Source organism: Homo sapiens, chromosome 18 (assembly GCF_000001405.40).
Source record: "Homo sapiens chromosome 18, GRCh38.p14 Primary Assembly".
NCBI classification, from domain to species: domain Eukaryota; kingdom Metazoa; phylum Chordata; class Mammalia; order Primates; family Hominidae; genus Homo; species Homo sapiens.
Window position 1 is genome coordinate 55,019,068 of NC_000018.10, and position 15,659 is coordinate 55,034,726.

A 15,659-nucleotide genomic window follows, 5' to 3' on the forward strand; every position below is an offset into this window, starting at 1 on the left:
AATAAATATATGAAATAAACATTTGAAAATGGCCCTTTTTATCCCCAAGCTCTTAGCTAAACAAACCATTTATTTCAAATATTTCTTGATGATGTTAAGCCCCCTTTTCTTTTTTTGTCTCTTTCCTTCAGAATGACTCCAATTTATCTATGAAATGCAAAGCCTAGAAATGAGTACCAATTCACCCTTTCTCTTCTGGTGGGCAGAGCAGAACAGGATGAACACCTCCCTCCTATTGAATATTATTCTTCTTACTCTGAGATCACATCTGCAGTTTTGGTGACGGCACCATGCTCTTGATTCATATTGCACTTTAAATCAGAAGAAAAACAGTCTTTTTCACATGCGCTATTGGTTCCCCATGTTCCCCACTCTCTCCCAGTCTATACTCTGCATGTTTGGGAGGTCATTGGGGCCCATGTATAGAATCTTATGTTTATTTTTATGAGGTTCCACCTTATTAGATGAAGGCATAGAGTTAGAGGTTATTTCATCAAATCTTCTGTTTAAAAGGGGCAAAAACTGACAACCCCACAAAAGTGAAAGGACTTCCTCAGGTTCCACAATCCACAATTGGAGGAGCCAGAATTCCAACTCAGGTTTCTGATTCAGTATTTTCCCCCAGGTCCGTGTTCTTAATGTGTGGTGCACAGGCTGGTAGCATCAAGATCACCTGAGAACTTGTTAAAAACGCGAATTTTGGGTCCCCACTTCAATCAACTGAATTAGAATCAGTTGGGACCGGGAGGTAGAGGGTGGTGGTTGGAACTCAGCGATTTGTGGTTTTACAAGCCCACCTCATGACTTTGATGCACCTTAATGTTTGAGACCCACTGTTCTACACCATGTGCCTTCACACTGTTGCAAAAGCCCACTCCGAGTTTCTAACCCATCAACCTAGTTAGGAACCTTTATTCTGCCATCAAATGTGTGAGAGCTCTCTCTCAACCTCTTATCATGTTCAGGGGAAAGCAAAACTCAGGAAGACAAGTCACTCCTTCCCTCCATGGGGAGAAAAAGGAGGAAGAAAGGACTCCCAGAGGAGAAAAGTTCCCTGGATCACCGGGCTCTTTTCTTCCTATCCACCATGACCACTGCTGGCAAAGAAAACCAGTACTCCTTGCTTTTGGTTTTAATGAGTTCTTGGAAACCCTTTTAAAATTTGAGTTGTCAAAAATCAGGCAATAAGTTTTTATAGAAATCATGTATCTGTTGAGAGTTATGTTCCAAACCAAAAGTTTTGCCTTAAATAAATCATAGTTGTAATCAACTTTTAGGACACAAAGTGCAACTATAAAGCTTGATGTTAATCAGAATTCCTACAGTACACTCCAAGCACCAAAAATAGTCAGAAAATTCTCTGCATAATGGAAGGGAAACATTGTATTAAGTAGAGCATACATAACACATAAAAATTCAACTGGTTATAACATCATTTTGAGCTACCAAAGCTGATCTTAATTAAAACAAAAAAAGTTTTTGCCTTCTTAACTTTATAGACTTTCTAGACTATATGAGTGACATAAGTTTGAAAAATGTTTCAGGGGAGTCCAGGCGTGGTAGCTCACACCTGTAATCCCAGCACTTTGGCAGGCAGAGGTGGGCAGATCACCTGCCCCCTCCGGCTGGGTCAAAGAAGGTAGTATTAAGGTTGCAGTCTGTTAATAGTATAGTAATGCCAGAGGTCAGGAGTTTGAGACCAGCCTGGCCAACATGGTGAAACCCTATCTCTACTAAATATGTACATGTATATATACATATATATATATGTATATATATGTGTGTGTGTATGTGTGTGTGTGTATGTATACATATATATGAAGCTGGGTGTGGTGGTGGGTACCTGTAATCCCAGCTACTCAGGAGGCTGAGGCAAGAGAATCACTTGAACCCAGGAGGCAGACGTGGCAGTGAGCCACGATCACACCACTGCACTCCAGCCTGGGCAACGGAGTGAGCCTCCATCTCAAAAAAATAGAATAAAATATAAATATAAATAAATAAAAAGTCCCAGGGCAATATTGAATAAATGCCTTGTTTCCTCTTGGCCTATTTCTCAGTTACAACTGGAGGCATTCGAAAACACCTCGTGTCCTACCTCCCTCCCACTTCACATTTTCTGTTTGCTTATTATGCTCCATTCACTGTTCCAAGGCATATGTGACTCCTGATTTATTTATTCCTCACAATAACTCCACAAGAATGCTATGATTCTTGCTCCAGTTTGCGATGAGAACACCAAGGCACAGAGTAGTTCATGAAATTCACCCAAAGACACAGAAGCAGTAAGTGAAAGAGCCTGGATCTGGGCCCAAGAAGTCTGGTTCTAGAATCAAAACCTTTCAAGTGGGTTACCTAGAACCTCCCTATCTAGGCTAATACCTAGAACCTGGGTTCTTTGCTATCATCTGTACATGTTATGGCAGCTCGATGTTTCAAAGCATTTCAAGGACTTTGTTAAAGCACACTAAGGACCTTGTTTGTGTCATTTTTGTCTTGTCTTCACCCACAGACCATTCCCTGATAATGAAAAGAGGAGAAAACCGTGAATAGGGAAAGGATTCAGTGGAAAATGTACAGTTTCCAGAGATGGTTTTCAGCAATTCCTTCTATTCCTCTACACTCATGTTGTTCTTGCCATCAAGAGGTAGAGCCGGCCAGGTGCGGTGGCTCACTTGTTTACTTCATATTTGTTGAATTGGTAAATTGGCTGTTACTGGAAATGCAAAAAAAAAAAAAAAAAAAATATATATATATATATATATATATATATATATATATATATATATATATATATATATAAAAAATAAGCTTCTCCAGAGCAATTTTGTTTGGTATTAAACTTTAATCATGTAACATCAAGAGAGTTTATGATGAAGAAAACACATTTTAAAAAAAAGGTTAATTTTTCAGTGTTGGTACTTTACGATTAGGTATAAGAAATGTTACAGAATTTGTGCTTATATTTTGATGAGAAGTCTTTGTTTTTGGCCTAAATCCCAGCACTTTGGGAGGCCGAAGCGGGTGGATCACTTGAGGCCAGGAATTTGAGACCAGCCTAGCCAACATGGTGAAACCCTGTCTCTACTAAAAATACAAAAAATTAGCTGGGTGTGTTGGTGCATGCCTGTAATTCTAGCTACTTGGGAGCCTGAGACATGAGAATTGCTTGAACCCAGGAGGCAGAGGTTGCAGTGAGCTGAGATTGCACTCCAACTTGGGTGACAGAGTGAAACTCTGTCTCAAAAAAAAAAAAAAAGAATTAGAGCCTACCCCTCATGCACACACGCAGAAGAAAAGCCCACCTGACCCACAGAATGGAAGGAATAAAATGGTTGTGTTAGGCTACTGCGTTTTGGAGTGGATTCTTATTCAGCAAGAGAAATGGGATAGAGAAGGGTAGCAGGACAGCCTTCTCTGGCTCCTTAATCCCTATCAAGCCAAGTTCATTTCAGCTTCCTATTTTCTTTGTAGCTTCTACCTGGAATTCTTCCCTCTCTTTGCTCAGTCCACTTCTACGTCTCTGTTCCCCAGCTTCAAGACCTGGATATGTTTCCCATCCCCTGTGATGTCTTCCTCAACATCCCCAGGCCAGAGGGATCTTCCTCTCCTCTGAATTTTTCTCCATGTATTGCCTTTCTGATGCAGATTTATAATTTACTGTTTTATTGCAAGTAAATTAATCCCAGATAAATTATACTCATGCAATTTTTATTCTCAGTCTCCATCTGGTCAGGCTGGAGAGAAACTTAAACTAAGTCATTCTGGGTTTGCCCTCTGCCTGGGTTGTGCCACAGTCAGGGTCTTAGGCAGTGCTAAGTCATTAAGTGGGATACCTCTGATTACTGGGCATTGCTCTTCACCTTACTCCTGAGAATTCTGCTGTTTCTATTCCCTCATATGTTGACATTCTGGTGATTCTCTGCTGTTTGGGGACCTGAAAACCTGGCTAGATCCTATCTCACAGATGTGCATAAAGTCAGTCCTTTCTAGCACATTGCTCTCTGCCAACTAGGGGACTGCCAGGGGACAGGGCTCTCAGCAGCAAGCCTGCCAGGACTCCTAGACACTGTTATCTGCTTCTTACAATTTCTTGTCTAGGGAAAAGTTTCAATCCATGTCTCTGTCTATTTCTTACCACAGTGGCAAGGAAGGGGACAGTGCCTATGCATGCTGACCACCTCCCACCCCAAGCATCTGGCATTGACTCTCTGCTTTTCAGCCTCAGTTCTTTCTCCTAAAGTGAGGGGAGCTTCCTTAACACAAGCACTGAAGTGGCAAGGCAGGAGGAAGGTTTGAATACAAATGGCCATGGATGAAGGGCCCAAACTCTCAAACATAAAAGGGCCATTTCTGAGGTGCAGCCTGTATGGCCCTTCAAAGAGGCCCAAGCAGGACTGAGCCCTGGTTGTCTTCAGTGGTATCCAGATAACTAATGTATCATTTCCCCTTCCTCCCTGTCTGAATCTCTCTACTCTTACATTCCTGCTTCCTGGGATCACATCCTAAGTTCCATGCATCTTGGTCCTTGTCTCAGGCTTTACTTCCAAGGGAACTGAAAGTAAGACTGTTTCCCATCCCTCTTGAATCTTCCAAACTCTCCCTTCCATTCCATTGCCTGCTCAAAGCCATCAATTTATCTACAGACCTAGACCGGTGATGCTATATCATGGGCAATTCTGCCACCCCTAGGTGACATTTGGCAATATCTGGAGACATTTTTGGTGGCCACAACTGGAGGACGGTGCTAGTGGCGTCTACTGGGAAGAGGCCAGGGATGCCGCTAAATCTCCCACCTTGCATAGGACAGCTCCCTACAACCAAGAGGGCCTCAAATCCAGCCCCACAGGGCCCCACAGGACAGCTCCCTACAACCAAGAGGGCCTCCAATCCAGCCCCACAGGACAGCTCCCTACAACCAAGAGGGCCTCCAATCCAGCCCCACAGGACAGCCCCCTACAACCAAGAGGGCCTCCAATCCAGCCCCACAGGACAGCTCCCTACAACCAAGAGGGCCTCAAATCCAGCCCCACATGCCAGTAGTGCCCCAATTAGGAAATTCTGGTATAAATATTTAGAGATGAGAAACAGGAAGTGTTGGAGGCTACTGCTTCTTTTCATCAGTCACATGCCTTTTTACAAGTTAAGATTCTCAGGTTTCAGCTTAGATCTCCTTCCTGAATCAGAACCTTTGAAGAGGACTTGAGAATCTGTGTATTTTTCTTAAACTCAGGTGATTTTGATGGATCCAGGGTGGCGCCAAGGCATACACTAGCATTTGGGGTCTAGTCCCCTTGATGTGTCCTGGGAAGACCAGCTTCCTTATTATTACAGAATGTTCTAGAAACATACTAACTCGCAAACAAAAGTTTATCATGTGGGCCCACTAGATGCTGGTATGAAATACCCTGTGACAAACAGAGACATGAGGAAAGAAGATGTGTTTTACATGTGAGCAGGGGGCTACAGAGTTGCAGGCAGGGGCTCAATAAAACTTGGAAACCCCCACCCAAACCTTTGTCCAGAGACTCAGAGAAAAAGTGACTCTGCTTTGCACTAAAAAACTGATAGGACCAAGGGGCACTGGGTGTGAAGCATCCCTGTCAATTCTCACAAATATTTTGGAGATGAATCACAAATATTAGTACTTTCAGGGGTTCAGTGACAAGGGCTGGCAGGGTTCAGAGCATTAAGATTTGATGAATTATGTTAAACATGACTAATATTGTCCTCACTCAGTGTTTAAGCCTGCAAAGTGTGGATAGTGCATTTTCTCTATTCATTTTTGTTTAGCTATACATTTTCCCCAGTTAACCTGGAAATGTTCTCAGTCTATGCTACATATCCTTGTTTTTCAATCCCCTGAAAGCTCCTACACAATGTTGGATTCATGGGCTTCTGTTGAATTGATTTTCTGGTTGGAAAAGAGCCAAGATAACTATCTAGTGACATTTCCAAGAATTCTGGATTAATATCAATAGTACTCTCCATCAAAAATGTACTCAGACTACCTGATGTCTAACATAACTTACATTCCTTTTTTTGAACTGACTAGCTTTTGCAGACTTGATACAGGTAAGCTTTAAAATAGTTTGTCAAGAAACATTTATATGTGGATTAATTGACTGATGTACAACCTTTTCCATATATCTTGAATATTGACCTGTTGTTTTGCTTAAAGCAAATTCAGCAAAGAATTGTTTTGTTTGATTTTGAGGTTTGATCCTTGCCTGATCAATGGCTGAGATTTCATCTTTGAATTTTAGGCTCCTGGACATCAATGAATAACCTAACAACCTTGGGAATAAGCAAGCATGAGGAATTGAGGAATATGGCCCAAAAGTTGAGAGTAAGACTCAGAGTCAACCCACCCATCTCCAAGTATAGATGTGCAATTTACCATCAGATTATGGGAACTCAGAGGTAAGTTACTTAACTGCTCTGTGTCTACTTTCCTCATCCAGAAGGCAGGAATTGCAGGTTGTGATGATTAATTGGGTAAATGCGTGTAGCAGCTTTAGGACAAACCCTGGCACAAGGTGAGTGTTCAGTCCACAGTAGCTGCTACTACTAGGATTATTTTAATGCCCAGGTCTGATAATGAATTTATCTGCATTCTAACATAAAATTTCTTACAGCCTTCCCATCACTGTTGGTAATCTCTCATTTCTAATAATTTTGGTAGAAGATTTTGAGCATTCACATATATAATTTTTCTTTGCCAGTAAAACCCTTCTCCTTCATCTTCTTCACCCAGCTATCTCTAATTCACTCATTGATTCATTCATACATTCAATCCTTCCATAAATATCTGCTAATTATGTCAGGCTCAGGGTTTGGTTCAAGGACTATAATGGGAACAAAATAACCCAAATATGACCTCTTTTCTCATGTAACTTATCAAGTAAATGGGATGGGGTGGAGGAAAAATCAAACAATTATAGAAATAAATGTGCCATGAAAAGTGTTGTGTATCATAATGAGTGTGCGTAATGATACTTGACTAATCCAGTGAGTTCAGAGAAGACTTCCATTGAGAAGCAACGTATAGACAAGATTCAAAGGATAAGTAAAAGGTTGCTAGGCAAATCAGGGAAGGAAGAGCATGCCAAGTAGAAGAACCAGCATGTGCAAGGGTCTTGCAGCTAATCTTTTGACTCTCAACTCAAAAGTCACTTCCCTGGTGAGACCTCCCTTTTCCACCACTGCCCCTCCAGACAGGGTCAGTGTTCCTCTTTGCATTTCCTTCTCAACAGTTTGTAATCCCATATTTACTTATTTTTGTCCCTACCAGATTATAAGCTTTATGGAAGCATAGGACATGGACATGTTTGCATTATATCCCAACATCAAGCCCGTGCTTGGCCTATGGCTGGTGCCCCATGAATATTTGTTATATTCATTGTGCCTTCCTTCAGGGATAGTTCATGACTTACTGATTGGTTTTCTTTAAGCCTATTGTGCCTGTCCTGGTAGTAAATCAAGATTATTCAATTATCCAGATCGTGTAAAATCTCTTCCTTTTGTAATACCCTCCAACTCATTTGGGGTATAGAGATTCTCCAAGTGCCTGTTATTACAGAGTACAAAACAGCCATAAATCATATGATTGAATAGATTATAATTTAATGGATGAGTTAAGATTAATTTAAAAAACCAAAGAATTGTAGATTTTTCAGAGCCAGAAAGGGCCTTGAAGTTCATTTAGCACTCATTTTATAAATTATCAAAAGATCGGGACAGGACAGGCCTTTCCACTCCACCAGCCATTTCCAAGATATGCCCTTCAAAGAAGCTTCCAAAGGCATTTACCAAAGGCATATAGGGTAACTTGATTAATAGAAGACCTAGTTCTCCAACCCTTTCCTTTGTTGTGAACAATGTTTTTATCCTAGCTGTTACGTGTCCATTTGGATCTTAATGGGAAGGAGCATTTTTTGTTCCTAAACTGCTTCCTTGAACTGGTTACAGTTATTCCAACTCAGTAGCAGGAGGGACTAGGACAATAAATAGGTGCCTTAACACCTGCAAAAGTTCTGGAAGCCTTCACATGTCACATCCTTTATCCAGAATCTGAACTGATAGGTTGGGATGGATGTGTTGTAGAAGCCCAATATCCCTGCATTACAAATAAAGCATTAAGACTGCCTATTCAAGGATAAAGAAAGGACTAGACAATATTAACCCAGAGAATAATGGCCTTGGAACACATTTGCACCTTTCTAACAATTTCCCAGCTTGCTCCACATGCTATTCAGTAGTCAAGCTGCCAAACAGACGTTTTGTCCTTCTAAAGATGGTCTCATTCCTTGAAGTTTCAGTTTTTGTAATTTGGCTGATTGGAGAACTTGGCTGAGCAAAGCATCATCAGAGATGATTTCTCTTGTTGTGAATTCAAAAGGCTTCAGCACACAGCACAAATGATCCATTAGCGTCCATTGTCTGGAGTTCAGGAAAACACCTTCTGCAGCATTGTGCAGTAATGTGTATGGCTTTTTTCTTTCTCTTTCTTCTTCTTCTATGAGGAAAGCACGCCTCCTAACATATAGGACGACTTGTTTTTCAGTATGTGAGCAGTTTATGTATGATTAAAGTTGGGGAAAACTGTCACTCTTCAAAAATTTTCAAAGAATTTTGACAAAATGGCAGGAACAAGTTTCAAACAGACTGAGAAAAGCTGCAGTACTTCTGAGTTTATCAGGAAAATGTACATGTTACATAGAGGGAAGAAACAACTAAGTATTTACTGTGCATGGTAAAATATTTTCAGGTGAGCAAAGTAGAATAAAACATTGCCTTTATCTTCTTCCAGCTTACATTTCTATTGTAAAAACAGAACTTAAAATAATACATTACCAGAAAAAAAAACAGTAAGCCAAAAGAACTTTGAAAAAGAACAAAATTGGAGGACAAACAGTATCTGACTTCAAGACTTATAAAGTTATAGTAATCAAAACAGTATGACCATTGGTGTAAAGCTAAACAAATAGATTGATGAAATAGAATAGAGTCCACAGATAGATATGTGCATATATGATGTATGGACAACTGATTTTTGACAAAGATGCAAAAGCAAGCAGTGGAGAAAGGGTAGTCTTTTCAACAGCTGATGCCAGAACAAATGGATTTCTAGCAGCAAAAAACCAACAAACCACAAAACAAAGAAACAACTTTGATCCATGGGTAGCACCAATATAAAAAGCAATTCAATCTAGTTATTGGAGGCTGGTAAGGGTCTAAGGGAGGGGAGTCTAGGGAGAGGTAGGTTAACAGTTACAAAACTATGGCTGGATAGGAGGAATAAGTTCTAGGGCTCTGTAGCACTGTAGGGTGAATATAGTTAACAATAATTTATTGTATATTTTCAAAACACTGGAAGAGAGAATTTTGAATGCTCACAGCACACAGAAATGATAAATTTTGGAGGTGATAGATATGCTCATTACTCTGATTTGATCATTACATATTGTATACATATATCAAATATCATATCACTCTGTATCCCATAAATGTGTACAGTTATTACTTGTCAACTAAAGATAAAAGGAAAAAAAAAACTCAAAAGGTATCATAGACCTAATATGATAAAACTTTGGAAATAAAAAGTAGGAAGAAATCTTTGTGACCTTGGATTAGGCAATATATCTTATATTCAATGCTAAAAGCATCAAATTGATAAATGAGACTTCATCAAAATGTAAGACTTCTGTTCTTCAAAAATCATTGTTAAATATATGAAAAGACAAATCACAAAGTAGGAGAAAATATTGCAAAATTTTGCAAATTATATCTGTAGAAGAACTTGTATCCAAAATAGAATTTTCAAAATTCAATAAAACAACTACAAGCCGCCTATTTTTTTAATGAGCAAAACATTTGTGCTGACTTTTTGGAAGATACCCAGATGGCAAATAAGCACATCAAAAGATACTTGACATCATTTGTCATTAAGAAATGCAAGTTAAAACCACAACAAGATACAACTACATCTGCTTTTCTGGCTGAGATTTAAGAAACTGACCACTCTAAGTGTTAATGAGAATGTGGAAAAACTGGAATTCTCAAACACTGCTTGTGGGAACATAAAATAGGACAACCATTTTGCAAAACAGTTTGGCCATTTCTTAAAAAGTTAAACTTATACTTACCATATGATTCAGCTATTTCATTCTTAGGCATTTATGCAAGACAGATGAATGTCTATGTCCATGTGAAGACCTGTACATACTGTTCAGAGCAGCTTTATTTGTAATAGCCCCAAATCTGGAAACAACCTAATGTCCACCAACAGGAGAATTAATAAACAAATTATGGTACCGTATATCCAGACAACAAAATACTACGCAGGAATAAAGAGAAATAAACCCAACAATATGGATGGATGCCAAATAATTATGGTGGTAAATAAAGGCATACAAAAGATAATACATCTTTTAATTCCATTTATAAAGTCCTAGTACATGTAAACTAATCTGTAGTGATAAAAAGCATATTAGTGGTTGCTTGAGGAGGAGGTGCAAGGAGAGGCACAAGAAAATTTTTTGGCTTTAAGAATGAAATGTTCATTATCTTGATTGTGGTGATGGTTTCATGGGTATAAAGATATGTCAAAACATCGAATTGTAAACTTTAAATATTTGCAACTTATTATATGTTAATTTTACCTTATTAAAGCTGTTAAAACAAAAACAGTACACGATAAAGTTGGGAAATATTGATTCAGGGAATATGCATTGTGGGAATTCTTATGGGATCAATATACAGTAAAGTCAATAGGAAAGGTTTTCCAGAGGAAGGGAGACCTGGCACAAACCTGAACAAATGAGAAGAAATTTTAGAACAGATCAGTTCACTTAAGAGTGTTTGAGCAAGAAAATTTGGAACAAGAACTGAGTAGAAATTTGCACAGAATGTTCTGGAAGAACAGGGGAAAGTAGTTTAGCCCTATCTGAAGGTTTGGTAAGGGCTTCATAAAAGACGCCATCTGAGTTAAGTGTTGTAGGATGAGGATGAATTAGCCAGGAAAAGAAAGGTTGGGCCAGGATTCCAAGAAGAGAGAACTTCATGAGCAAAGGTATGAAGATATGAACAGCATGTATGCTGAGAAATAAAATTCAATATAAATAGACAATAAAAATGAAATGAGAGATGCTCATGCATTCATCCACTCAGTTTGCCATTCAACAAATATTTATTAAGTGGTTTTTACATCAGATGACAATGCAGTCGAGACTTGTGACCTCTATGAAACTTCTATTGTGGAGATGGAATTCATTCTAGATATTCCCTTGATAAGCCCATAAAGACCAATGAGGACCATATTATGAAGAGCTTTGCCTACCATTCCAAGTGACAGGGCTTTATTCTGGAGGCAAAAGGGAGCTGTGGCGAATAAGATGGTCAGTTTTTAAGATCATGCAGATTTGGAGGGATGCATGTATCTGATAGGGATGAGTAGAGAAGAGGAAACCTGCTAGCTCACTGTAACAAGAACCAAAATTGGAAACAAGAGAATAAAACATTGAAGGGCAAAGACAATGACGAGTTCAATTAGAGACATGTTGGCTTTGATGAGGCCAGGGCAGTTGGCCCTGTTATTCTGGGCTCGCCAGAAAGATAAGTCCTCAAGATAGAAGCATACACTGAGAATCTAAATCAAGAGAAGGATTGAAGGCCAAAGAGAGGCATTCGCCCCTTTCCTATCTGCTAGTCACTGGATACTTGCATAATTGTTGCCTAAGGAACCTCTTGTCCTGGTTATTAGCCATTCTTATTGACTATTCTTACACAGTCACATCCAGCATGATATACCACTTCTAGGAGGTGCCAAAGTGAGGCAGCAGACCCAAGATTACCAAATCCAGCACATTGGATTCAAAGGGGTTCTAGAAACAATTTTACTCATTATCCTCAATTTACAACATCATTGCTTCAAAAACATTTTGGTAATCTACTACTAAATGAGCCATCCAAAATCATGTCTATTCCAGAAATTAAAGGTACAAAAACCCCACTGTAGATTAAATAATGTGTCTAAACAGCCCTTAATTATTTAGAGAAACAGAAGCAATAGACACTTATTAATCACAAGAATGAAGCATTATCTGTGTGTGAATGTCTCTGGATATGAGAGAACATAGTATCTTTCATTGTGCTAAATTGTAACCTAAAAAATTTAGACTAATGATGGTATCACTTGTCTCAAAGCTCTTTAAAATGCCCAGAGATATAAACTATCAGCTATAGCCTCTCATAAACCTCAGACTTGAACTATACATTGTGCATGCCTTCCCCCTGCTGGAGCATTTATTTGTACATGAGAAATGAAAGACTGATGCAGAACCATAGTCTTTGATACATCCGTAAGAGTGGCCAAATATTCTGGTTGTCAAAGTAAACAGAGAGACTTCTGTCTGGGCTTTTCCGTGATTACATTTCTTACTTTTTGACAACAGGCATTTCAGAGCTCCCCTGTGCTAAATGTGCCTCTGATTTCTGTCCTTCGCTCAATGAGGCCTGAAAACATAGTCTCCAATGAAAGAAACTTAGAATTTAATCCATAAATACAGCAGTCTACATTTAATACCGACTGTTGAGATGGGACAGAGGACTTCTCTATTTATGAAGACAATGTAGAAATGAACAGGAGCCCGAGAGAAGACAGTCACACCCACACCTTCTATTTTCTGTCAAGGAAATAGACACAAAAATGGCTGTTTCCATGACAGGAAAACAAAGCAAAACAAAACAAAAATGTCTGAGTTGCAATTGTTGCTTTGGTGATTATAGTGGTGGTGGTGGGCTCTTCTTTCCTTCCTTCTCCTCCTCCTTCTGCTCTTCCTCCTCCTCCTCCTCCACTGCCACTGGCACCGCCTCCATCACCACTTTCTCCTATGCCTCTGTATGCCTCTCTCATGTCAGTGAAAACACGAAGTTGTTATCCGACCTACCTGGTTCCAGCGACCCTGAGCAAATTATATAACTCTCAATGCCAAAAACAACTCAAACACAATGCAAACATCAACAAGTTTCCCTCTCACACAGCCAACTATTTTTTTTCTGAACCTCTGTTAATCTGCTTGGTGACACTTTTGGTTCCGCATACCCTTCTGATGACAAGGAGAGCTGGAGTACTTTAGGGAATGCCCAACACAGCAGCTTATGTGCAAAGATCGTAGCTGACTGATAACATGAAGGCTCTGGGTCAGAATGGTGCTGCCTAAAGTCATTGTTTTTGCTTATATCTATGGAGCTCCTGTCATCTTGTACTCTAGCAATGATGTAAGAACAAGACTTACATTTTCCTTTTCACTCTTATAAGTGGCTCTCATATTTAGCTATAATATTTTCCAACTTCTTATGTTGACTATTTTACAAACATAATTTGTGTCAAGTTTAGAGCTGAAGCATGTTCACTTTTTACATTTGTTAGAAGTCTTTCCAAAATATCCACAATTCATTTCTTAGCTTTTTCTAGCAGAGAACATTTCTGGGTGCTGAAATACTGATTTGGAACTGTCTTTGACTGAGGAATTGGGGGATTGTTATGGTAATTGAATCTAGAAATCATATGCACCAGCTTTTCTCAGTGTATATTGCTTCCAAATGAAGTAATCCTAAGAAAACATTTGTTGTAACCTTCAACAGAAATTTGATCGCAATTTGAGAAAGAGGATCCAAAAAACTTCACTGGTCAGAGTGTGAATGACTTTCTCTGAATTACAAAGGGTTAAAAGCCATTAACTCCAGTGCATGGCTATGCTAGTTTCATTTAGCACAGTGAGAGGACACATACAGCACCTCTCATGTCAGCTCATTAAATTACCAAAGCACAGGATCTGCATCCTACGGTCTTTGTAAGTGAAGGTATTATAAATTTCTGACATCGCCTACAGTCAGACATTAAAGGAAACGGCCTTTCATTGTTTCTCACTTATAGTTCACAAATACAACCCAGGCAATTTAGGAAGAAAATGAAAGACTAAATAACGAAATGCCAAATTACAATTTGTAGACTTCGATCTTGATGTGCCACTGCTGGATTGGGCTCTTTAATATTCTACAACGCCTGTGACAACTACTTCTCCAAGTGTTGGATATGTAATTTCGATCTCTTTTTCTCTGAATCTTTGTACCTTTTAGTCTAACAACAAAGAGGAACAAAGATCCTAATTATACCCATAATCATTATTATCTGAAGAAGTTCCCAGTAATTAAATTTTAAAGAAAATTTATTTAATGAGCTTTCTACAGTCACATCCAAGCAATACACATTCAAGTAGATAGTGATTAGTATGAAATAGCACTAATTTGAATGACTTGATAAAAGCTCCTACTTCACTACTATGTTTTTAATAATTGTGTAATTACATAGAGAATTATTCCTGTAAATATCGCTTGTTTTATATAGAATGGAGGACATGAAGATGTGTTCTATCTGAAGCAAATTTCCAATATTTTGAAGCTGTATCTTCTTGTGTCAGCTAAAAAGTTAATATGTACATCTTAATTACACAAACACACACACTCTCTTGCATGGAATATACACCTTTCATTTGCATGAGTTAAGAAAAAGTGCTTAGCTTAGAAGAAGCAGAGGTGGGGGAAAAATAAATCTTCTCTGAAGGAGTGCATGGTCATTACCAGTGAATGAAAATGAAAAGCGTATTTCAGCGAACAACTCCTAATTATCCTGTAAGAGAGGCACGATAATTGACATAGACTATATCGGTGTTGTTGCATCTATATCATTTCCAGTGATTCATGGAGCTTTAGAAATGTTATCATGTAATATTGTGCATTTGTTCTTTTTATTTGAGGGCAAACTAAAATGCTGATCTTAAATACAATTGTAGAAAGATGAACTACAGCTCAAAGCAGGCCTCCTTCATTTGAATATTTTACTTGCACATCACGAGGCTGAGATACTAAAGGATACCAGGTATACTCAGATAACTGTTATAAGACACAATGAGACAAAAGGGACGTTTACTAGTCAAGGACTCTATCACTAATTAGATGGTATCAACTTGAGCCAATCACTCGCGTTCTCTGGGCCTCAGTTTCTTCATCTGTAAAATGATAAAATTGGAGATCTGGTTTCTAAGGACACTTCGAACTTTCAACTGCAATTTATCTTAATATCACTAGCTCTATGATATATCTTATTTAATTTAAAAAATAGAAACATCTCCCTGGGTATTTCCCTTCTTTCTAAAATGATAAATAAAAGCAACTATGTATTGCTTTCAAAAGGAAACGTTTGAATGCAAGTCATCTAATTCAGCTGTAGGTACCAAAATGTTTACTTAACATTTTATTCTATACCTCAATGATACAATTTCAATTAATTTTTAAAATAGGCAATACAAAGAGACAATATTTAAAAAGAAGAAAGCAAATATGATACATATGACATAAAGTTTCGATGTCATGAAAATAAAATTAAAATGGTCCTGCATTCCTAACTCCTACCAAACTCTTCTTTTCACCCATGCACAATTCTATCCCTGGAGAAATGGGGCTGGGGTAGATGTAAGAAGATGAAAGCTTCTAATGTAATTGGAACCTAGCTTCTCACATGCTGACATTTGTCATAAGAAGTAATTGGCCATTGTTGGTGCAGTCTTTAACCTACAAGGAGATATTAGTGGTTTCAG

At 38.6% G+C, this 15,659-nt stretch overlaps 1 annotated feature.

The window, feature by feature from the left end:
* Window positions 13,572-14,928: an enhancer, noted in NCBI's record as "VISTA enhancer hs1013". NCBI's record gives its function as "enhancer in: forebrain[4/6]" and the evidence as "EXISTENCE:transgenic organism evidence [ECO:0001131][PMID:17130149]".